The sequence below is a fragment of the Homo sapiens genome, chromosome 11 (genome assembly GCF_000001405.40).
Source record: "Homo sapiens chromosome 11, GRCh38.p14 Primary Assembly".
NCBI lineage: Eukaryota > Metazoa > Chordata > Mammalia > Primates > Hominidae > Homo > Homo sapiens.
In genome coordinates this window covers 116,968,998-116,993,261 of record NC_000011.10, presented here as the reverse complement: position 1 = coordinate 116,993,261, position 24,264 = coordinate 116,968,998, and the positions used below count along the sequence as shown (strand labels likewise).

Below are 24,264 nucleotides of genomic sequence, written 5' to 3'. Positions count from 1 at the left end.
AAATCAGTTGTGTCTGTTAAAAGCATTTCTGTTACTGTGGGGAGGGGTTTTTAAAGTTTTAAAAATCTAGCTTTTGGGTGAGTGCAGTGGCTCATGCCAGTAATCCCACCACTTTGGGAGGCTGATGTGGGAGGATCACCTCAGGCCAGGAGTTTGAGACCCATCTGGGCAACATAGTGAGACTCTGTTTATTAAAATAAAAATAAAAGTAGAAATAAAATAAAATAAAAATCTGTTTAGTTGTTGTTCACATTTGGTCCTTTAGAGATACTTTTTTGAGACAGAATCTCACTCTGTCACCCAGGCTGGAGAGCAGTGGCATGATCACGGCTCACTGCAGCCTCTATCTCCTGGACTTAAGTGACCCTCCCACCTCAGCCTCCCAAATAGCTGGGACTACAGGTGCATGGCACTATGTCTGGCTAATTTTTAAATTTTTCTGTAGAGATGAGGTCCCTCCATGTTGCCTAGGCTGGTCTTGAACTTTTGGGCTCAAGAGTCCTCCTGCCTTGGCTCCCCGAGGTGCTGGGATTATTATAGTCATGAGCTACTGCTCCTGACCTAGTGATAACTTTTTGAATTCCAATTCCTTGATCCTTTAGCATCCTAGGCAAAGACAACCATTTCTGCTGGGTAAAGCACAGTGAAAAGCCCTGCTTCTCTGTATACAAATGAAACAGATTGTACAATTAATATGTATTGGGTGCTGCATGGTCCATCCTAACAGTAGTGCTAATTGCCATATCATTTATTTTTACATTTGGAAGTATTTTACTTTGGCCTCAATGTAATTTTGTTTTTTTAATGCTGTAGAGTGTATGGGATATAGGTAAGGAGTGGATAAGAAAGGAAACAATAGAATCAGAAATAGTAAGAATTGCTATATAAATGCCTTTCCCTGTAAATGCACACAAATATATGAGGTGTTTTTTTTTGGGGGGGGGGGTCTTGCTCTGTTGCCCAGGCTGGAGTGCATTGGTAGGATCTTAGCTCACTGCAGCCTCCACCTCCTGGGTTCAAGCAATTCTCTTGCCTCAGCCTCCTGAGTAGCTGGGATTATAGGCGCCCACCACCACGCCTGGCTAATTTTTTGTATTTTTAGTAAAAATGAGGTTTCACCATGTTGGCCAAGCTGGTCTCGAACTCCTGACCTCAAGTGTTCTGCCCGCTTTGGCCTCCGAAAGTGCTGAGATTCCAGGTATGAGCCACCATGCCCGGCCACGAGTTTTTTGTATGTATGTCTAAATACGTAGAAAGACAAGATTTACCCCCTTTTTTGGTGTCTGTAATAAATTTAGTGATATACGTGTATGGGTGTATATGTATATAGATATGTATGCTATGAGTTAGAAATGAAAAACCTGCCATAAAAGCAAGAGGAAGGAGGAGTTAATTTTGCCTGAAGATGTCAGAGAAGGCTGCATTGAAAAAATTTGCCATAGACCTGGTGATAGGAGATTGAATGGGCCTTACTAGCTGTGTATAGTGGTTTGTACCAAAAAGTATGGGGATAGGAGGGGAAAGTGGCTGGGAATATTGGAAAATCTAGTTGAAAGATAGGTTGAAGGCCGATTGTGAAATAGTTTCACTTACTTTATCATTTAAGTAATAGGTTGGTTAGACCTTTTAGATCAGATCAGTATTTTGAGAGTATCTCTAATAGTATAGAATTATTTGTACTTCTTGACTGAAACTATATGTTAAATAATGAATTTGTAACTTAGTTATTAGAGTGTTCAAATTATACCTGTTTCTCTCCCTTCCCTCAATTTTTAGAAAGCATTCTCTAATGAGGCAGGGGTTTTTGTTTGTTTTGAGACAGCGCCTTGCTCTATTGCCCATACTGGAGCGCAGTGGCATGATCTCGACTCACTGCAACCTTCGCCTCCCGGGTTCAAGTGATTCTCATGCCTCAGCCTCCCTTGTAGGTGAGATTACGGGCGTGTGCCACCATGCCTGGTTAATTTTTGTATTTTTGATAGAGACGGGGTTTTGCCATGTTGGCCAGCTGGTCTCAAACTCCTGGCCACCTTGGATCCGCCCACCTTGGCCTCCCAAAGTGCTGGGGTTACAGGCATGAGCCACCATGACCAGCCAAGGCAGGTTACTTTTATATTGGTTAAAAGAGTGCCTGATATTAAATCCTTAGTCTCCCACTAACCAGCTCTCTCTCTGACCTTGGATGAGCCTTAAACTTTGGTTTAATTCATTTGTAAAACAAGCATAATAATGCCTACCTGAAAGAACTGTTGTGAGGATTTGATTGAACGGGATAATATGTAAAGCACAGCTCTTGACACACTGTAAATGTAGCTGAAAAATAGTAGTGATTATTTTGTGGTAACAGCTTTCATTGTAGAAGAAAATTAATGGAATGTGAAGGATTAATGATTTTGGGAGGTGGAGGGGAGGAGACCTTGTTAAGTAGATTAATTAGGAAGTTATTGGTTTGTCCAAACAGTGCTTTTAGGTGACAAGGGAATTCAGTGTGGAAGAGGAGGTTTGGTAGGAGAAGAAAATATAATCAGTTTAGTTGTAGATGGGTTGAGTTTAAGGTACCCAAGGACACAAAGGTAATACTGTGGAGGTGGCTGTTGGAAATACGAAGCCTGGAGGTACGAATGTGGAAGTTATTGCTGTCTGGTTGGAGATACTTGTGTCTGGGAAGAGTGATCGAGTGAGTAGTGGCCTATTAATGTTTTCTTTTTTTAAAAAATTTACTTTCAATATACTGCCAATAAAGTAATTTGCACTGTTATACTAAGGTATTAGACCACGTATTCTGAGTTCAGATTTGTTGCTTGACTCGTTAATGTATGTAGGTTATACCCAGTTTTGGTAAGCCTCCTGACCTTTGGCCCCATTCACAGCATTATCTCTATCTCTCAAAGGGAAAAAGAAGTTCATTCTTTGAACTGGGGAGTGCTCTGATGTTGGCAGGTCTACTCCTCCTCAGGTCTAGACACTCTTGGCCTCCACAGTGGTTTTATTCAGGAAAGTTCTCACCTTTGAATTGTAGACTTAGTGCAGACTTGCTGGTAGTTGGCTAGGCGGGATCACAACAGTGATTGGTATTGGTAAGTACATGTATTGCTGCCAAGAAGTTGCATAGTTCATGTGTTCAGTCATAGCCTTTTCTTTATATGACGACCCCGCTGAAATACAGAATGGCCTGCTGCCTTCTCACAGAAGGTCTACTGTTCCAAGCTTATTTTTTTCTGAGTGAGAAGAAAAGGTCTTTTGCCACTGTTTTCAGACTGAAATTTAAATTTCAGCTGCCTTGGATCCTATATAATAAAAGATTGAGACACAGAAATTGTTCTATTAGACTTGAAATTTCAATTGCTTTTACTTCCCAGTTTGTAGTAGTGTTTGAACCTAAAATCCTATGTGTGTTTTTAGTTACCTTTTCAAGTTAAACTTTCAGAAACTATCTGCTTAACTTAAAAATTTACTCTTGTTAATTGCCCAACCACATCTTACTTCATGTGTCAAAATCTGCCTGATATTTTTAATTTGGAAGTCCACAGTAGTGGGAAGTCATAGGAACTCCCAGTCAGGGTATTCACAGTAACTACTCACAGTAATAGGAACTCACAGTCAAGTCTAATTTTTCATTTTAATTTTTCCAATCCCTTCTTTACTTCTAGTATACTAATTGAAAAAAAAAAACTTGGGTTGCCTTTAGTTTCAATTTATAATTTTTATTAGGATTTTACTGATACTGTATCTTTTTGGTACTGGAGGTCTCAGAGGACTGACCTGGTTCTACTTGTTTGCTCTTGGGATTTAGAACGATAGTTTCTATTGTGTTGAGCCAGCAACATTTTGCTTATTTTCAAGAGGCAGAGTGGCAGAGTACTAAATTGCAAGGTTGTGCAGACCTTAAATAAGTGTATGGTGAGCTATAAAGTTACAATGTTAAATTAGTTTCTGGCTGGCCCACATTGTTTCCAAAGTTGACTTTGCATTTTAAAAGACCTTACTGATTTAAAAAGCGAATAGAGAACTGCTTGGAAACACATATCATCTGAGAGACATTCGAACATGCGGGGAAAAAAAAAAGTGGAAGGAAAGGTGCTGCTGGCTGGGCATCATAGACTAGAAAGCTGCATTTAAAGTTTAAACTGCTTGGGTAAGACATGTTTTCCTGGTTTATCCTCATGTTTTTTTCCATCTGTGTTCTCTTGCCATTATTACCACCAAATACAGGAGAATACTCCTTTACTTATTGTAGTCTTATTTGGGAGACAGACTAGAGTGTGGATTATGTAGGGACAGAAAGGGAGACTTGAGGGTTTTTTTTTGTTTTGTTTTGTTTTTTCTTCCAGTATTTAGGTTCATTGATGTACAGGGCATATGTTGTCTTCTTTTAGATTTTTCAGTGAAGTTTTGTACTCCTCTCCATAAAACTCTCACACATTTATATTTATACATATATATGTAATATATATATTATTTATTTATTGAGAAAGAGTCTTGCTTTGTTACCTAGGCTGGAGTGCAGTGGCATGATCATGGCTCACTGAAGGCTCAACCCCAAAGACTCAAGCAATCCTTCCACCTCAGCCTCCCAAGTAGCTGGGACCACAGGTGCACATTAATATGCTTGGCTAATTTTTTAATTTTTAAATTATTATTATTGTAGAGATGGGGTCTTGCTGTGTTGCCTAGGCTGGTCTCAAACTCCTGAGCTCAAGCAATTCACCTGCCTCGGCATCCCAAAGTGCTGGGATTATAGGTGTGAGCACCACTGGCTGGGCCAATGTTTTTTCTCTTATAATGTTTCTTCTGATACTTTGTGGCTATTCTGAATGTGTTCTTTTAAAAATTATCATTAGAAAGTTACTTCATTTTTCTTTTTTTCTTTTTTTTTGAGTCAGAGTCTCGCTCTGTTGCCCGGGCTGGAGTGCAGTGGCGCCATCTCGGCTCACTGCAAGCTCCGCCTCCCGGGTTCACGCCATTCTCCTGCCTTAGCCTCCCTAGTAGCTGGGACTACAGGCGCCTGCCACCGTGCCGGCTAATTTTTTGTAGTTTTAGTAGAGACGGGGTTTCATGGTGTTAGCCAGGATGGTCTCAATCTCCTTGTGATCCACCTGCCTTGGCCTCCCAAAGTGCTGAGATTACAGGCGTTACTGCATTTTTCTGCACCAGGATCTCTTTATTTTGTACTTAGGCTTTGCTTGCTCCCTCTTTGCTTTAGTTTCATCATCTGTGAAACAAAGGGGTTAGGTTAGAATAAGAAATTTCCAAAGATCTTTCTACTTCTCACAGTACGTGGTGCTGTGTCGAGGTAACGTCCTTTACATACCTCATGAAGTTAGTGCTAGTTGTACCATCCAAACCACACATAAGTTCTGTGAATACAACCAAACAGCTTTGTTCACATGTATTTGCATGTGTTTCAACTTACCGTGTTCTCTGCATAATGATTCTTCAACAGTTTGAGGTAAAGAGTGAATATTTCAGTTTAAAAATACAGTCAAAAGTATAGTTTCTTATTCTGGTGGACGTGGTTTACTACTACCTCCTCCCCCTGTGTTTTAGTTTGTTGCTGTGCTAGTTTTATTGCATATTTTCTCTCCTAAAAATAGATGGTCTTTATCTAAAGCGTAGTTTTTATAAATATTTGCATCTCAAGTAAATTTTTTCCTACCACATGGATTTCATGTGGTGAGTTCCATGAAAGCAGGTTGTGTTAAGAGGGCATTCTCCTAGTACCTGTTTATTCTTTTCCATACCTCTGCCCCAAGGATCTTGTTTACTGATGTCAGAATACTGGCAGTTTGAGTAGTACTCTTGAAGAGTTATTTTTGTATTTATTTCTGCTGGATTGAAGGAGGTAGATGTTGTACTCATTATCTCTCAGAACATCTATTCAATCCTAACCCCCAAAATATACCTTAGAAACAGGCTCTCTGTGTTTTTTTTTTTTTTTTTAATCTTTTATGAAGACATACAATACACACATTTCTCTTAGATGCTGGCCAGGAATTTGTTTGAACAAATTGAAATGGCAAGTTTTAACCCTAATTTGAATAGAGTTCCAGAAAATGAAGTTAGGGCAGAGGTTGGTGAGGGGTCATATTGGAGTGTCACTGAGCTAGTACCAATTTGTTTGTTTGTTTTGTGGTAAAATGCACATAATATAAAACTTAGCATTGTAACCATTTTTAAGTGTACGGTTCACTAGTGTTAAGTACACTTGTATAGTTGTGCAATCAATCTCCAGGACTCTTTTCATCTTGCAAAACTGAAACTCTGTACCCATTAAGTAACAACTCCTCATTTCCCCTTCCCTCCAGCCTCTGGCACCACCATTCTGCTTTCTGTTTCTATGAGTTTGAGCCAGTATTTGTTTAGCTTTTTCATTTTTGTCTTGAGAACTTGACCTTCTTTATGACAGCTAAATGGATGTTGAACATGAAGAGGAGAGTAATCCAGTAAAACTGGTAGCCACTCTTCATGATCCATGAGTGTTGGTAGTTGCCAACCCCGAAATTAGAGTATCAGTCAGTCTTCTGTAATGCAGTTTGGAAATTGCTATTCCTTGTGTTTGAGGATGATGACAATAGCTAGTGACTAACACTTACTTGGTACTTATTACATGCCTGAGGTTAGAGGAAAGACCTGCTTCTGGGAAGAAAGAGTAAAGGAAAGATTGGGTGCATGACAATGTATAGATACATAAAGGAAGTTCTTGTCTGTTTTCTCTGTTAAGCTCAAAGCTAAGTCATCTGTTGAAAGTTAGGGGGCTCAGGTTGGTTAGGAGGTTTAAATAAAGTGACAGATGTTTGCAATTACCAGGAAATGGGATAGAGACTCATCAGGGAAAGTAGAATAATACTAACAGTATTAGTGGTAATAATAACAACAACAAGAACAGCTAATAATGACTAGTTATCTGTTCTATGCCAGCTACATTTTATGTTGTAATCTTTATAGCAACCTTATTAAAGTAGTTGTTATTACAGGTAAGAGACTAAGTTGCAGAGTTAGGATGCCAGTGTCACTCTGCTGCCCCAAGCCCAGGTGTTCTTTCCTTTTTCTGCACTGTTAATGGCATTGGGAGTGTCTGCCTGACACTACAAACCAGAAGTTTAGAGTATAATTTTTAGAAATTGTTCTTCAGAGAAAGGAGGAAGAGTGGGCTGAAGTAAACGCTATATGTCTAAAATATCACAATTATGTTGACTTTTTTTTGCCACCAGAATGATTGATGCCCTTGATGGGTCATTTCACTAAATAAAGTGAGTTACCACAGCCCAGTAGAAACCCAGATCTGGTTGTGTGACCTTAATAGAGGTATCTGAAATTATAAATTGATTTTCTTCCAATAGCCCGCATCTGAAATAACTGGATTGAGGTTCATGTCAGTAAATTCTTCAATTTCTATGTAGGGAAAAATGAGGACCTTTTTGTTTGTAATTATTCTATTTATTGAACAGTTATTAGTTGTACTTCTAATCTGTACTAGAAGACTATATTACAAAGTGTTTATTTTCCCTAAACAATGGCTTCTCTTGATTCGTGTTCATTATTGCCCTAAATAAATTGAAATTTAGAAAAAGAAAAACCCAGTTTTCTTAGTATCATACATGCAAGCTTAAGTTTTCTTATTTGTTTGTTTTTATTTGACATACATGAAGGTTATTTCCAAAGATACAAATGGAGGCCAAAACAGTTTGACATAAAGCAGACCAAAACAGATTGAATTATACTGTACCTCTACACTGACTAGCATTTTGATGTCTAGATGGATAAGTAAGCATAGTGCTAATTTACAAGCGCAAACTCAACTAGTAAGATTAACTAATTTCTAGGCTGTAATGAATTTATATAAATATTCTTGTTATTCAGATGGGAAACCTCATAACTGTGCTGTAGATTAGACTTGCATTGCCTAAAACTGGAGAATGTAACTTTTTTTGTTTTTTTGACAAACCCACAGCCAGCATCATAGAGAATGTAACTTTGCCTCCCAAATCTGTGTATGTCAGATCACTTATAATTGGAGCTGCACAGTTCCCTCTTCTAGGTTTGACTCTTTAAACTTGGTAACATCTCATTAGGCTAAATGAATTCTCCATGCCCTATTGTCTGTCTTGCTATGTTGCCTAACACTTTGATTTTAACATTAGGAAAACAACTACCAATAAACATGAGATAAAACACAAAATAGATGAATACCACTAGCTTGGTAATATAAACCATTATATAACAGGGATTTGCTGCAGACTCTTTTCACACATAGAAAACTTTTCCAAAAGACATTTTTGAAGTTTCGCTATGAAGAAAGTTTGCCAGTGACTGAAAGAACCTTTTGTAGGTCCCTATTTGGGAGTGCGGTAACTGGTGCTTCTGGACTCTATACACAGAGATCCAAGGCTAGGAAAATATCTCAGGGTAAAGCTATCTAAGTTTTGTATCCAAAAGCTATTAATTTCTTCAGTTATGAGAAGAAACCACAAATTGCGTAATGGCCTTGGTATTTTGTTGGTATGGAGAGAAGGATGATCTCAGAAGACTTGTAGGCCTGTCTTGGGGTGTCTGTGGTGTGTGTGTGTGTTGCTTTTTTTCCAACTTATAAAAAAACTCAACAATCAATCTTAGCCACGTTTTTGAAACCGTAGATATTCTAAGTTAGCAAATCCAAATCAGTACACGAAACAACCATTTTTGCCAGCACCAAATGCATACTTTGCTGAGCTTTCGTATCTGGGCTCCAGAGTTTATTCATAGCAAATTCTGACATCTGCTAAGTTCTATTATGACCCAGAGGGGAGCGAAGTGAAGTAGGATGAAGAATCTGGAAACGCATGCTGCTTATAGGGTAAATTGCATTGAGGAATTTGCATCCATGTAGCCTTTCCCCTTATGGACCACTGTGACGTTTAGTAGGCTGAGCTAAAAGGTCATATTGCTCAAGATGAATAACAATAAATGGTTTGTTCAGTGACTTGTTAAGCCTACTGCCAGTGCCTACTAATAGCCAAAATAGCTATTTCTCTTCTGGGATATATGAGTTTGGCTGTCATCTTTTTGGGAATATGGTAATTTGTAGCCATCACTTTCAGTGTGGTGGGGAGATCTAACATTTAAAAGTTCTTATCCCAGTGGTTTACAGATCCCTTTTCCCCCACAAACCGCTGCTGCTTCTTTTGAACCTTGAATGCTACCATGGTTTAATTTTTTTTTTTTTTTTTTTTTTGAGTCAGGGTCTTGCTCTGTCACCCAGGCTGGAGTGCAGTGGCATGATCATGACTCACTGCAGCCCCAGCCGCCTGGACTCAAGTGCTCCTCCTGCCTCAGCCACCCAAGTAGCTGGGACTACAGGCGTGTGCCACCACACCTGGCTAATTTTTAGATGGGATTTCGCATGTTGCCCAGGCTGGTCAAGCAGTTCTCCCACCTTGGCCTCCCAAAGTGCTGGGATTACAGGTGTGAGCCCTCATGCCCGGCCTTCCTTTGCTTTGCTTTTCTTCAGTTGTGGTTCAGTTCTAGACCATGTTTACAGTAGATACAGGGGCACAGCTCCCAATAGTGTTTAAAACATGTGAAGTATCGGGGCAGAAGTTAGCACCTCTAATAAGTTTAAATTCCCTCGGATTTGCTTTATAGGAAGTATGTTAAGAACATTTTCCAGAGCATTTTCATTCAACTGATATATTTTACATAGCTGCCTTATTAAAATACAGATGTATTCTTGAAATTATTGACCAATTTTTTTTTTTGAGATAGTCTTGCTGTGTCGCCCAGGCTGGAGTGCAGTGGCACAATCTCGGCTCACTGCAACTTCTGCCTCCTGGGTTCAAGCGATTCTCTTGCCTCAGTTTCCCGAGTAGCTGGGATTACAGGCGCCCTCCAACATGCCTGGCTAATTTTTGTATTTTTAGTAGAGATGGGTTTGGCATGTTGTCCAGGCTTGTCTCGAACTCCTGACCTCAAGTGATCCATCCACCTCAGCCTTCCAAAGTGCTGGGATTACAGGTGTGAGCTACCATGCCTGGCCGATCAATTTTTTTTTTTTTTTTTGAGACAGAGTCTCGCTCTGTCGCCCAGGCTGGTGTGCAGTGGCCGAATCTTGGCTCACTGCAAGCTCCGCCTCCCGGGTTTATGCCATTCTCCTGCCTCAGCCTCCCGAGTAGCTGGGACTACAGGTGCCTGCCACCACGCCCGGCTAATTTTTTATATTTCAATTTTTAAGAAATGAAATAAGATGAATGATGAGTAATTCCTTTTTCAGTAATATAGTAGATTAGATATTCAGAGAAATCCCCTCGGGTCAGAAATTTTTTTTTTTTTTTTTTTTTTTTTTGAGACGGAGTCTCGTACCGTCACCCAGGCTGGAGTGCAGTGGTGTGATCTGAGCTCACTGCCACCTCCGCCTCCTGGGTTCAAGCGATTATCCTGCTTCAACCTCCTGAGTAACTGGGACTACAGGTGTGTGCCACCATGCTCAGCTAATTTTTGCATTTTTAATAGAGATGGTTTTCACCATGTTGGCCTTGATGTCTTGACCTTGTGATCTGCCCGCCTCAACCTCCCAAAGTGCTGGGATTACAGGTGTGAGCCAGCTGGAACATTTTTAAATGAGGCTAGGAAAGGTAAAAATGTATGAGCACATATAATATACATATAACGTTCTGGAACTAGTGTAAGAAAAATAATTGAGGCCGGGCATAGTGGCGCACGCCTGTAATCCCAGCACTTTGGGAAGCCGAGGTGGGCAAATCACGAGGTCAGGAGTTCAAGACCAGCCTGGCCAACATGGTGAAACCCTGTCTCCACTAAAAATACAAACAATTAGCTGGGCGTAGTGGTAGGCGCCTGTAATCCCAGCTACTCGGGAGGCTGAGGCAGGAGGATTGCTTGAACCCAGGAGGTGGAGGTTGCAGTGAACTGAGATTGCCCCACTGCACTCCAGCCCGGGTGACAGAGTGAGACTCCGTCTGAAAAAAAAAAAAAAGCATCATTTCATAAGGCAGAGGAAGCCCTGAAGGTGGTGGTGGTTCTGAGGGTTTCTTGTAGGATTAGAGGAAAGTGGAGGGACAAGAGACAAGTAGTACCTAAGCATAGTGGAAGGTCCTACTGGAGACTGTCCCAGATGGAACTGGGACCCTGGAGGGTGCAAGTCTTCAGTGCATGAGTAGAAAAAAGATGTCCAAGATGTCCTGCATGCAGAGACTTGCCTCTTACTGTCTTGGATCTGGTTGGAGAGGGGAAAGAAGCCTCCCATGTGATTGCCTAAGCAGACGCCCATACTCAAAGATTTGCAGTCAGATTTTATACTACCTGTGAGGACTGAAAATCTCTAAACTGAAAACTTAGTTGAAAGTATTCCTATTTGGTTATGGTTCCCAGTGTCTGGGAGAATCAAATTCATATCTCTTTTAAATTAATTAATTAATTTTAGAGACAGGGTCTTGCTATGTTGCCCAGGCTAGTGTTGAACTCCTAGGCTCAAGCAGTCCTCCTGCCCCGGCCTCCCAAAGTGCTGGGATTATAGGCATGAGCTACCACGCCTGGCGAAAACACACTTTCTAGTCAGGCCTTAAAGACTTTTAATAGAGGAAGTTGCAAGAAATGTGAGTTTGCGTAAGAAAATAAGCAACTATGAGTTGGTTATTTTGAGTCAGATGGGGCAGATTCTATTTTCCAGATATGGAAACAGTATTTCCTGACTCCTGCTCTTCTAGAACCTCACTATTGTACTATCAAGAAGTAGAATCTTTTTCTGTTGAAGCTGGGCAGTCCTTTGTGACTGCTTTGACCAAAAGAATATGACAGAAGTGATATTATTTCATTTCTGAGGCTAAGTCATAAAAATACCACACATTTCTTTATTCTCTTGGGATGCTCATTCTTGGAACCCATCAGCATACTCTGAAGAAGCCCATGGAGAGATCCATGTGGAAAGGAACTGAGGTCTCAGGCCAGTGGCACCAGCTATAGGCTTCCAGCTGATGGTCAGTACTGACTTGCCATCTTTTTAAGTAAGCGATCCTGCAAGTGGATCCTTCAGTTCTCTATCAAGCTGCCCTGGGTGATGCCATGTGGAGCAGAGGCAAGCTCTTCTCTCTAAGCCCTGAACAGATTACTAATTTGTGAGCAAAATAAGTAATTATTGTTATTTTGATCCACTAAATTTTGGAGTGGTTTGATATGCATCGATTGACAGGTAACTAAACATCGGTGGTAACCATCAGTCTTATAAAGCCTACAGATGTTTAAAGAAATAAAGGAGGAGGTTAAAAATATGATGAGGAGACTCTTAAAACTGATGAGGAAAATATGGAAGAAGAACTCAGTCTCTGTAGAACTTCTAGAAATAAAAAACATGCAGATGCCCCCAGACTTATGATGATGATCTGATTGTAATTTTTCTTTCTTTATTTCTTTTTTTTTTTCGAGACAGGGTCTTGCTCTGTTGCCCAGCTGGAATGCAGTGGCATGATCTCAGCTCACTGCAGCCTCCGCCTCCTAGGTTCAAGTGATCCTCCCACCTCAGTCTCCCTAGTAGCTAGGAATACAGGCAGGCACCACTATACTCAGCAAGTTTTTTATTTTTAGTAGAGACAGGGTTTTACCATGTTGCCCAGGCTGGTCTTGAGCTCCTGAGCTCAAGTGATCTGCCCACTTCGGCCTCCCGAAGTGCTGGCATTATAGGCATGAGCCACCTCAGCTGACCTGATTATGATTTTTCAACTTTACGATGGTGTGAAAGTGATATTCATTCAGTAGAAATTATACTTCAGTACAGTATTCATGAAATATTCAGCACTTTATTGTAAAATAGGCCTTGTGTTAGAATTCAAGCTGTCTAAACCACCTTGTTTTGTTTTGTTTTGTTTTAGGCTTTTAGCAGTGTGAAGCCATTGTTTTTAGTTTCTCTCTCTAGTGATAAGCGGAAAAGAGGGTTGAGGAAGGGGCTTTACCGAACCAACCAGAAACAGGAACTAAGAACCCAAGCCTGTGTTCCCTCCCTTGGACACCCCTGTAAGATGATTTTGCTCAGTCGTAGGCTAACATCAGTGTTCTGAGCATATTTAAGGTGGACCAGGCTATGATGTTTGGTAGGCTAGGTGTATTAAATGCATTTTTGACTTAGTAATATTTCAACTTATGATGGGTTTATAAGGACATAAGCCCCTTGTAAATTGAGGAGCATTTGCAGCGAAAAATACAGTGGAAAGAGGATACAGAGTAGAGTAAATTAATGAACTGGAAAATGGATCTGAAGAAAATTTCTAGAATTTAGTACAGAGAAAGAAGAGATGGAACATATGAGAGGTTTAGTGACATAGAGAATGAGACGATAACATCTGTCTGATCTAGTGGATCCCAAACTTTTTAAATCTTAGGATCCCTTATGCCTTATGCTCTCTCTCTCTCTTTTTTTTCTTTGTTTGTTGGAGATGGAGTCTTGCTCTGTTGGCCAGGCTAGAGTGCACTGGCATGATCTTGGCTCACTGCAAACTCCACCTCCCAGGTTCAAACGATTCTCCTGCTTCAGCCTCCCAAGTAACTGGGACTACAGGTGTCCATTACCACGCCTGGCTAGTTTTTGTATTTTTAGTAGAGATGAGGTCTTGCCATGTTGGTCAGTCTGGTCTTGAACTCCTGACCTCAAGTGATCTGCCCACCTTGGCCTCCCACAGTGCTGGGATTATAGGCATGAGCCACTGCACCCAGCCTACTCTTTAAAATTATTGAGGACCCAAATTGCTTTTGTTTATGTGAGTTACACTTATAATTTGGCCACATTTTTGCATATATGTTATAGATCCATTAAAAGTTTACTTTAAAAAAGAAACATCATAGAGTGAGAAGGTGAGCCACAACTTGGGAAATGTACTAACAAAGGTTTGTTAGCCAGAATATAAAAGAACTCCTCAAATAAAAAAAAAAATTAGGAAAAATGGAAATAGGAAAGTCATGAAAAAGTTAATTTTACAGGAGTAGAAACAAATGGTTCATGAACATATGAAAGATCCTCAACCCTTTTAGTAATCAAGAAAATGCAAATTAAAATGGCAAGGAACTGTCTATCTCCTGCTCGTCTCCTTTCCCCCACCAAACAGGGAAAAATTAAAAATATAGTTACAGTTGTTAGAGATGATATGAGCAGTAGGAGCAGTCATACTGTTAGGTACCTTCATTTTTGAAAACAATTTGGCTTTACCTAGTGATGCCTAGGTATGTCCCCTAGTGAAATTCTTGTGCGCATGGCTTAAGAGACATATGTAAGAATATTTTAATTATTGTTCATAGTAGCTAAAAATCCAAACAACTCAAATGTCTAGCAACTGTAAAGCATAAATACAGTTGGTATATTTATAAAAGGGTGACCTCTGAGCATAAAAGGAATTTAAGTGCCACTACATGCATCTTCGTAGAGGAATATTCCAAAATAGTGGGGATCAAAAAAGGCAGTTAGAAATAATAAATACGGGGTGGGTGCAGTGGTACAGGCCTGTAATCCCAGCACTTTGGGAGGCTGAGGCAGGAGGATCCCTTGAGCCCAGGAGTTCAAGACCAGCTTGGGCAACATAGCAAGACCCTTTCCCTACAACAAATTAAAAAAAATATTATCTGGGCATGGTGGTGTGTACCCGTATTTCTAGTTACTCAGAAGGCTGAGGTGGAAGGATCTCTTGAGCCCAGGAGTTTACAGCTACAGTGAGTTATGCTCATATCACTCCACTCCAGCCTGTACATCATTGTGAGACCCTGCCTCAAAAAAAAAACGAGTATGATTCTATTTGCATAAAGTTTAGATGCAGGCAAATCTAAACAATATGTTGTTTGGGGATACATATATGGTAAGATTATAAAGAAAAGCAAATGAACAAACTTCAGGATGGTGGTTTTCTTGGAGTGGGATGAGGTGGTACTGGGGAATGGAAGAGTACGTAGGAACTATGGTTTGAATATGACATATTTTACAATAAAATTTTTTATAAGCTTGTTGTTGAAAGGAACCCTGAGGTGATTCTTTTTTCTGAAGAAGACTTTTGGTAATGCGGATAGTAATTTTTTTTTTTTGAGACGGAGTCTCTGTCACCAAGGCTGGAGTGCAGTGGTGCGATTTCGGCTCACCACAACCTCCGCCTCCCCGGTTCAAGCAATTCTCCTGCCTCAGCCTCCTGAGTAGCTGGGACTACAGGTGCATGCCACCATGCCCAGCTAAGTTTTTGTAATTTTAGTAGAGATGGGGTTTCACCGTGTTAGCCAGGACGGTCTCGATCTCCTGACCTCGTGATCCACCCGCCTCGGCCTCCCAAAGTGCTGGGATTACAGGCGTGAGCCACCGCACCCGGCTTGCAGATAGTAATTCTTAATCTTTTGGTACATGCTCTTGCACATAAAGTTTTACAGTAAATATATTTTTCATTTTTTTCCTGAATTTCTTTATGTCAACCTTGCTAAATAGAGAGCGTGCCTAGGAAGAAGATGAAACTAGGAGAATTCATCCACAAGCTTAAGTTCAATGGTTGTAGCCTTAGAATGAGAAATTAGGCCTTTTATTCTACCTGTCTTAAAATTAGCTTATTATTGTTAAAAACCAAAGACTGTTTCTTAGTTTGTTTATTTTTATTTTTTGTTCAGGAGCAGAAGCACTCTTTTGCCCCTAGCCCTAGCCTGCATCTGCTGTTTGTTAAATACCTCCATGAATTGACATCTCTTCCTTTTCCGAAGGAATGTGAAACCCAATAATTACACACAGACCTGACCTACTTTGGAAGAACCAGAGGACAAAGAAACCCTAGATTTCTTCGTCTTTTTTTAACTAAAAAGCAGAGATTTTTGGGAGGCGAGGGCCAGAACTTCCTGTATCTATTCTTCTTTGAAGAGCCCAACTCACCTAAGAAATTTCTGGCTGGGCATGATGGCTCATGGTTGTAATCCCAGCACTTTGTGGGACTGAGGAGGGAGGATGCCTTGAGCCCAGGAGTTCAAAACCATTCCAGGCAACATAACGAGACTCTGTCTGTATGAAAAGGAAGGAAGGGAGGGAGGGAGGGAGGGAGGGAGGGAGGGAGGAAGAAGAGAGAAGTTTTCCCTTGTGTGTGCTGCTTGTAGGCTAGTGGACTTGATTCTAATGAAGCCTTTGCATGTCTGCTGATCCGGAAATATTTGGCCTTTTCCCAAGGCTCTATGGCTTTGGGAAAATAATGATGAAATACCTATTTATTTTTTATTTTTAATTGTCCTATTTTATATGTTTGATTTTTGTAAACACCTCAGCCCTTTTTAAAAAGAAATAGTTGGAATATAAACATATATTCTCATTAATTAATAAATCAGCTGGATGACTAGTCCAAACTATTATTCCATTATCATTGTCACTGCCCTGTAACTTATTTTAGTTCTGTGTTAGTTATATTTACCTGTTGTTATTTTGCTAATTTGATAGTTTATTGTGAAAACAATTTTTAATATTTGTCTACTGACATTTTTTAAAATAGAAAAAAATTCTCCTAAACCACAATCAGAAATCTTTTCATTTGATTCATTAACAGTTACTAAAACACCACAACTGCGTTCTGGGTCCTAGGCCCTGTAGGGGGGCTCACACAACTTCACTAAACACCAGCCTTAGCAGAGGAAGATAACTATCAATATCTGGAATGTCAAGAACTAGAAGAAACAAGATAATGTGGTCCTAGCAGACAGATAAATGGGATAGATTCAAGAATTCAGAAATAAAACCTTACACTTATGGTCATTTGACTTTTGTTAAGTCTGCAAAGATAATTCATTGGAGAAAGAAGAGTCTTTTCACCAAACAGTGCTGGAATAAGTGTATATCCATGTTCAAAAGAATGAAGTTGGACCTTTGCTTTATACCATATGCAAAAATTAACTTCAAGTGGACCACAAAACTCTCTAAGAGTTTTCATAGAGTTTTATAGTTTTAGCTCTCACATTTATGAAGAGAAGAAAACATACGAGCAAACCTTCCTGATTTGGAGTTAGGCAGTGGTTTCTTAAATAGACTACCAAAAGCAGAAGGGACAAAGGGAAAAATAGATAAATGGACTACATCAAAATTAAAAACTTTTGTTCTGCAGACAATACCATCAGAAAATTGATGACAACCCATAGAATGGAAGAAAATGTTTGCAAATCGTACATCTGATAAGGGACTTGTATCTAGAATATATAAAAACTTTTATAACTCAATAGTAAAAAGTCTAATAATTTAAAAATAGAGGAAAGATTTCAATGTGTAATGCCCCTCAAAGTGTATGCAGTTAGTCCACAAACACATGGAAAGATTCTCAGCATCATTAGTCATTAGGAAAATGCAAATGAAATCCTCAATGAGATACCACGTATCCACTAAGATGGCTGTAATAAAAAAAGATGGACAATAACAAGTGTTGGTTAGGATATGTGGAAAGTAGAACTTTCTGGCATTGCTGGTGAGAGAGAATTTAATGATGCAGCAGCTTTGTCATTTCTTCAAAATGTTTAATGTTCCAAAAAATGTTAAAAGTGGAATTACCATATAACCCAGCAATTCCACTGGTAGGTATAAACCCAAGATAAGTGAAAACACATTCACATAAAAATTTTATGAATGTTCATGGCAGCATTATTCATAATAGCCAAAAAGCAGAACAACCAAAATGTCCATCAACTAAAGAATGGATAATTAAAATTAATATATCCATACAATGGAATATTATTTGGCAATAAAAAGTAATGAAGTACTGATACATGCTGCAAGGTGAATGCCCCTTGAAAACATTATGCCAAGTAAAAGAAACAAGTCACAAAAGGACCAGATATTGTATGATCTCATTGAGATGAAATATTTAGTATAGGCAAATTTATAGAAAGAAAGTGGATTAGTGGTTGCCTAGGGCTGGTGGAGGGATAGGAGTGGGGGAATGAGGAGTGACAGCTAAACAGGTATGAGGTTTTTTTCAGTCGGAACAAAAATGTTCAGTTAGATTGTGATGGTTGCACTATCCTGTGAATTTATAAAACACGTTGAATTTTACACTTTAAATTGGTGAATTGCATGGTATGTGAATATCTCAATAAAGCTGCTTTTTTTTTTAAATAACTAGAATACAAAGAAAGCAGGGAAATTCTTGCTGAGGAGAAATACTAATGTGATTATTTGTCTTGTTAATGAATTTCATGTCCTCGTTCGGGCTAAATATTTGTCAATTTTTAAAAAAATCTACTTTCAGAAAGAGTTTCAGGTATCTTTAACAGAAGATCAACAGATTAAAACAAATTTAAAAGAATTAGGGCCAAATAGTCTAGGGAAGAGGAGAGATGGATACTATTTTACCAGAAAACTTAGGCTAAGTAGAGCTACCACAGTTCACTTAGCTTTTGCTTTCTGGCAGTACAGGCCAACAAGAAAACATGGATTCCTTAACTAACATTATTAAATAAAAGGAAAAAATACAATTGAGAAAACCGATTTCCCAGCACCACACTGTAAGTCAAAACTTAATACCCTGTGACTTGATATCAGGTTCACAAAACTATGTCTAAAAGAAAAATTCTTCAATAATACATTTTTAAAAAAGATTTCAAGGCCAGGTACGGTGGCTTATACCTGTAATCCCAGCACTTTGGGAGTCCAAGGCAGATCACTTACAGCCAGGAGTTTGAGTCCAGCCTGGGCAATATAACAAGACACTGTCTCTACAAAAACAAACAAACAAACAAACAGAAACCCCTATGGTGGCACATGCCTGTAGGCCCAGTCGCTGGGGAGGATCACTTGAGGCCAGGAGGTTGAGGCTGTAGTGAACTGTGATCGTGCCACTGTACTCCAGCCTGGGTGACAAAGACCCTGTTTCAAAAGGGGGAAAAAAAGGGTTCCAAAGTGTTCTTTATATGGAAACCATTTTGATTCTGGATATAGGTCTAGTGAGTCTAGTGAAGAAATGTTGTTTGTTAAGCGATCTGGTTACTTGAACTGACGGAAAGCAGAAAGCTGTTGTTTAGTCTGGTATCTCCAACATTAAATAGAAGTTTCCTAACAAAACAATTTAAGACTGAATTTGAATGTAGTGCTAGAAGAGCAGAGCATTCCATTATGATGTTTGCAGTTAACTATTTTAGAATAGCTTTAGATGTGTAGAAAAATTGCAGATACAGTACAGAGGTCCCAAATACCCCACGGTCAGTTTCCTCTATTCTTATTATCTTACAGTAATATGATACATTTGTCATAATTAATGGACCAATATTAGTACATCCTTATTAAAGTTCATACTTTACTCAAATTCCGTTAGTTTTTACCAAAATGTCCTTTTTCTGTGTCAGGATCTTGTCCAGGATACCACACGCCATTTAGTCACCATGTCTCCTTAGGTTTCTCTTAGCTGTGACAGTTTCTCAGTCTTTTCTTGTTTTTGATGACCTTAATGGTTTTGAGTAGTACTGGTCAGGTATTGTAGAATGCTCCTCAGTTGGAATTTGTCTGATGTCTTTGTCATGATTAGATTGGGGTTATAGGTTTTGAGTGGTAAGATAACCAAGGTAAAGCGCCATTTTCATCACATCATACCAAGGGCACATACTATCAACATGACTTATTACTGTTGATGCTAACCTTGATCACCTGGCTCAGGTAGTGTTTGTCAAGTTTTTCCACTGTAAAGTTCTTTCTTTCCCCCCCTTTCATAATGTACTGTCTGGAAGGAAGTCATTAGATGCACATGCTTTTGATAGCATTTTGTGCAATTGAAAAAAGTAACTTTGTTTGGTAAACTAAGGAGCCTGACATATTTACTTTTCCAGTGGAGAGCTTACCTATGTTTACACAGAGTTTGCTGGAATCTCTACAAGTAAGGCTAAAGCAAAGCTTTTCTCAAGAAAGAGCTTTAGTTTTGTTCACATGCTTGAACTCTTGCTTGAAACTGCTACAGTTCTGTACTATAAATTATGGAAGAGATTTCCTTGGCCTAGAATTTCTTGGAGATGATAGTTGTCTACCTTATAAAGAACCATGAGCTGTTAGTTTTCTATTACTATGTAGCAACCTGCCACAAATTTAGCAGCTTAAAGCAGCACACATTTACTGTCTTACAGTTTCCATGGGTCTTGAGTCCTGGCATGGCTTAGCTGAGCCCTCTGCTCAGGGTCTCAGAAGGCTGTACAGTATTAAATGGACTGCATTGTCACCTGGAGGCTTAACTGGGAAAGTAGTTACTTACGAGATCGTTCAGGTAGTTGGTAGAATTGCTTTATGAGTGAGGATCCCAGCTTTTTGTTGGCTGTTGGCTGGGGCTTCTAAAGAGACTGATCCTAGAGAGACTGCCCGCAGTTCTTTGATGCCACCCACAGTTCCTTTTCCTGAGGGCTTCCGTAACATGGCCATTTACTTCATTAAGCTCTCTAGCTCCACTTGGAAGAAAGGGAGGATATTACATAAAGGCATGAATAGGTCTGTCATTATGTGTGTGTGTGTGTGTATGTGTGTGTGAGAGAGAACCATTGGGGGCCAGTCATCATGGGGTCTGTTTGTCACACAGAATATGACTTTTATTTTTATTTTTAATTTTTTTTGAGGGTACATAGTAGGTGTATATATTTCATAATATGACTTCTGAAGAGAATATTTAATTTTGAGTAGGACTGCATCCAGTAAGTCTGTCTTGATGAAAATTAGTCACAGAGTACATCCCAAATGTTAGTTTAACCCAATAGAGCTGGTTGTAGTAAAAAGAATAAACTTTACTTTTAAAAATATTGGGTACAAGGTTAAATGGAGGTAGGTAGAGCTGTTCAATGCAGCATACCAGCTGGGGATGAAGAAAGAAGTTGGAGGATAGGTGAAATACGGGGATATGTTTTCCTTGTTTCAAAATTTTGCTAAAGTCTGATGCTGTCAGTCATCCATTCTTTTATTAGTCAATTATCTCTGTTTATATTTAACAACTCATTACCATAAAATCTACTTTTGAGAAGGAGCAAAACATAATGAAGTGGAGGGCTCAGGTTCTTGAGCTCGACTGTCTGGCTTCGATTCCTGCCTCTGCCATTCAGTACTGTATATCCAGGGCACATAACTTCATTGGTAGGTGTCTCAGAAACATCTGTAAAATGAGAATAATAGTACCTACTCCATAGGGTTGTTGTATGGGTTAAGAGTTAATGCCTGTAATTATTCTTTTCTTTTTTTTTTTTTTTTGAGACCGAGTCTCGCTCTGTTGCCCAGGCTGGAGTGCAGTGAGGCGATCTCAGCTCTCTGCAGCCTCCGCCCCTCCAGGTTTAAGCAGTTCTCTGCTCAGCCTCTGGAGTAGCTGGGATTACAGGCGCGTGCCACCACGCCCAGGTAATTTTTCGTATTTTTAGTAGAGACGGGATTTCACCATCTTGGCCAAGCTGGTCTTGAACTCCTGACCTCGTGATCCACCCGCCTCGGCCTCCCAAAGTGCTGGGATTACAGGCGTGAGCCACCACGCCTGGCCATTATTCCTCATTTTTTTCAAGTGCAGTAAAGATGTCATAGTTATGTTTAAAAAAAGAGAAAGACTCCTGTTTGAGGTATATTGAAGTAGTTACAGATGAAATGATACGGTGATTGGGATTTTGGAGAAACTTGGTAGAGATATAGATAAAACAATTGACTATAAAGTAATAATTCTTGAAGCTGATTGATGCTTTGAATTATTTTATTGTCTACTTTTGTTAATATTTGAAAATTTTCATTACAAAAAGTAACAAAAAAATTTAGTGCCTTGGGACATATTAGGTGCTCAGTATATTTTACCTATTCTTACTATGCTTATGTTTAATATATTGGAATTAACTAGTCTAAAACAAAAAATATAAAACAAACTAAAATTGACTCTTTGAGTTTCTCATTTCTAAGTGAGAAATTTGATAATGGAAACATCGTCAAATTTGGCTGACATTGGATTATGCAACATTTCTTAGACTCGGATTCTTGGTTTCTGTGTTCATGTCTTTCTGGTGTGGTTGTAATTTACAGTTTAATTAATTTGACCTACTTGTTGCCCGTTTCACATTCCATTTAATTTAGTCTGCCATTGTTTGTTCTGTAAGTGGGATGGAAATTAATGTCAATATTATTATTTAGTGTTCTTAGTTTTAACAGTGGGAAACATTGACTTTACCAATAGTGAAAATATTAGCAAATGCCAAGGCTTTTCTGGGCAAACAGTGGTGTTATGCTTTAGTTTTAATGTATTTAATTGAGGAAAGAAACACTTATTCACCAAGGTTATCTCAAATGTGGTAAATGCAGTTTTCTGCTTATTATCATATGGTCCTACATTATATAGCACTGTAAAACTAGATGACTTAGGGCTGGGTGTGGTGACTCATGCCTGTAACCCCAGTGCTTTGGGAGCCTGAGGTGGGAGGATTGCTTGAGGCCAGGAGTTCCAGATCAGCTTGGGCAAAAGAGCAAGACCCTTCTCTTAAAAAAAATTAATTTAGCTGGGCATGGTAGTACATGCCTGTAGTCCTGACTACTCAGGAGGCTGAGGTGGAGGATCTCTTGAGGCCAGGAGTTTGAGGCTGCAGTGAGCTATTATCACATCATTGCACTCCAGCGTGGTCAACGGAGCAAGACTCTGTCTCTAAAAGAAATAACAAATACAGCCGGGCGTGGTGGCTCATGCCTGTTATCCTAGCACTTTGGGAGGCTGAGGCAGGAGGATTGCTTGAGCCCGGGAGTTTGAGAGCAGCCTGGACTATAGTGAGACCTCATCTTTACAAAAATAAGTAAATAATAAACAGATAAGAGAAAATAAAAGAAATAATAACTAAAACTAAATGGCTTGATTACTTTAACTAACCAAGATTGAGAGTTGTATGACTAGTAGTGATTCTGATTTATGTGAATGAACCCTTAGGACTTAAATGTCAATTTAAAAACTTAAAAAAGTCAAAACCCAAGTCTCCCAGAGTTCGAATTAGGAATTGGCACAGTGAGAACCTTATCTTGATAACTCTCTTTCTTTCTTTTTTATAGTCAGGGTCTCACTCTGTCACCCAGGCTAGGAGTGTAGTGGCTTGATCACAACTCACTGCAGCCTTGACCTCCGGAGCTCAAGCAGTTCTTGTGCCCCAGCCTCCCAAAATGCTGGGACCACAGGCACATGCTAATGTGCCCAACCAATTTGAAATTTTTTTTGTAGAGACAGGATTCCACTATGTTGCCTAGGCTGGTCTGAAGCTCCTGGGCTTAAGCGATCATCTCACCTTGGCCTCCCAAAGTGCTGGGATTGCAGGTGTGAGCCACTGTGCCCAGCTGATACCTCTGCTTTCAAGTCATGTAATAGATGAAAACATTGAGGATTAGAGGGGTAAAGTGATTTTCCCAAGGTCACAAACATATCTTAGAGATACAGCTGGAAATTGAACTCTCAATCTCAGCACCCACTGCATTCGTCTTTTTGCTGTCACAGTGATTTCCAAACTGTTCTGCAGAGCCCTAGGCTTCTAAAAAGTTTTGTCTGTAACCAGGATGGATACTCTTTTTTCTGTCTTATGTGTTAGGGTTTATGTGTGATTTTGTTCAGAAGGAAAAAGTTTCTACTGCTGTGTATGATCATTTTTATATCCTTCCTACACTCTGAGCTCCTTATTCTGTGCTGTTTTCTACCCAGAAAAGTACATTTGATTCATTGAAGGGATTTTTTTTTACTTAGTTTCAAAAAATGCCAACTTGATCTCTTAGTTTCAAAAAATGCCAACTTGATCTATCAAGAAACCTGTGACCCAGAGACCTCAGGAAAGTTGCACAAAGACTTTTAAATATGGAGGGATAATTAGTTTTATTATGACATTATTATCAATTAACATTTTACTTCCTTCTAGCTCTCTACATTTTCATTTTCTCATCTCATAAATCTCATTCCTTATGATTTTTTGGTGGGGATGTGTTACTTACGGTCTCTTATTTTCCTAGAACAATATTTATGCAAATATGTCTTTTTTTTTTTTTTTTTTTTTTTGAGACGGAGTCTTGCTCTGTCTCCCAGGCTGGAGTGCGGTGGTGCCATCTCGGCTCACTGCAAGCTCCGCCTCCTGGGTTCACGCCATTCTTCTGCCTCAGCCTCCCGAGTAGCTGGGACTACAGGCGCCTGCCACTACGCCCAGCTAATTTTTTGTATTTTCAGTAGAGACGAGGTTTCACCGTGTTAGCCAGGATGGTCTCAATCTCCTGACCTTGTGATCCACCCGCCTCGGCCTCCCAAAATGCTGGGATTACAGGCATGAGCCACCGCGTCGGCCGTCTGTCTATCT

General features: G+C 39.6%; 1 protein-coding gene across 15 annotated transcripts in view, besides 4 other annotated features; it reads left to right on the top strand.

Moving 5' to 3' along the window:
* SIK3 (SIK family kinase 3) overlaps positions 1–24,264 on the top strand; it is a 255,027-nt gene that overhangs the window by 105,167 nt on the left and 125,596 nt on the right. The gene's annotated exons all lie outside the window — the stretch shown is intronic.
* Positions 12,614–12,663: an enhancer, noted in NCBI's record as "active region_5560". NCBI's record gives its function as "activates an Ori minimal core promoter by ATAC-STARR-seq in GM12878 lymphoblastoid cells {active_cell/tissue: GM12878}" and the evidence as "EXISTENCE:reporter gene assay evidence [ECO:0000049][PMID:35858748]".
* Positions 12,814–12,873: an enhancer, noted in NCBI's record as "active region_5559". NCBI's record gives its function as "activates an Ori minimal core promoter by ATAC-STARR-seq in GM12878 lymphoblastoid cells {active_cell/tissue: GM12878}" and the evidence as "EXISTENCE:reporter gene assay evidence [ECO:0000049][PMID:35858748]".
* Positions 12,814–13,033: a biological region, named in NCBI's record as "MPRA-validated peak1485 silencer".
* Positions 12,833–13,033: a silencer, noted in NCBI's record as "peak1485 fragment used in MPRA reporter construct". NCBI's record gives its function as "represses an SCP1 promoter by STARR-seq MPRAs in K562 erythroleukemia cells {active_cell/tissue: K562}" and the evidence as "EXISTENCE:reporter gene assay evidence [ECO:0000049][PMID:32103011]".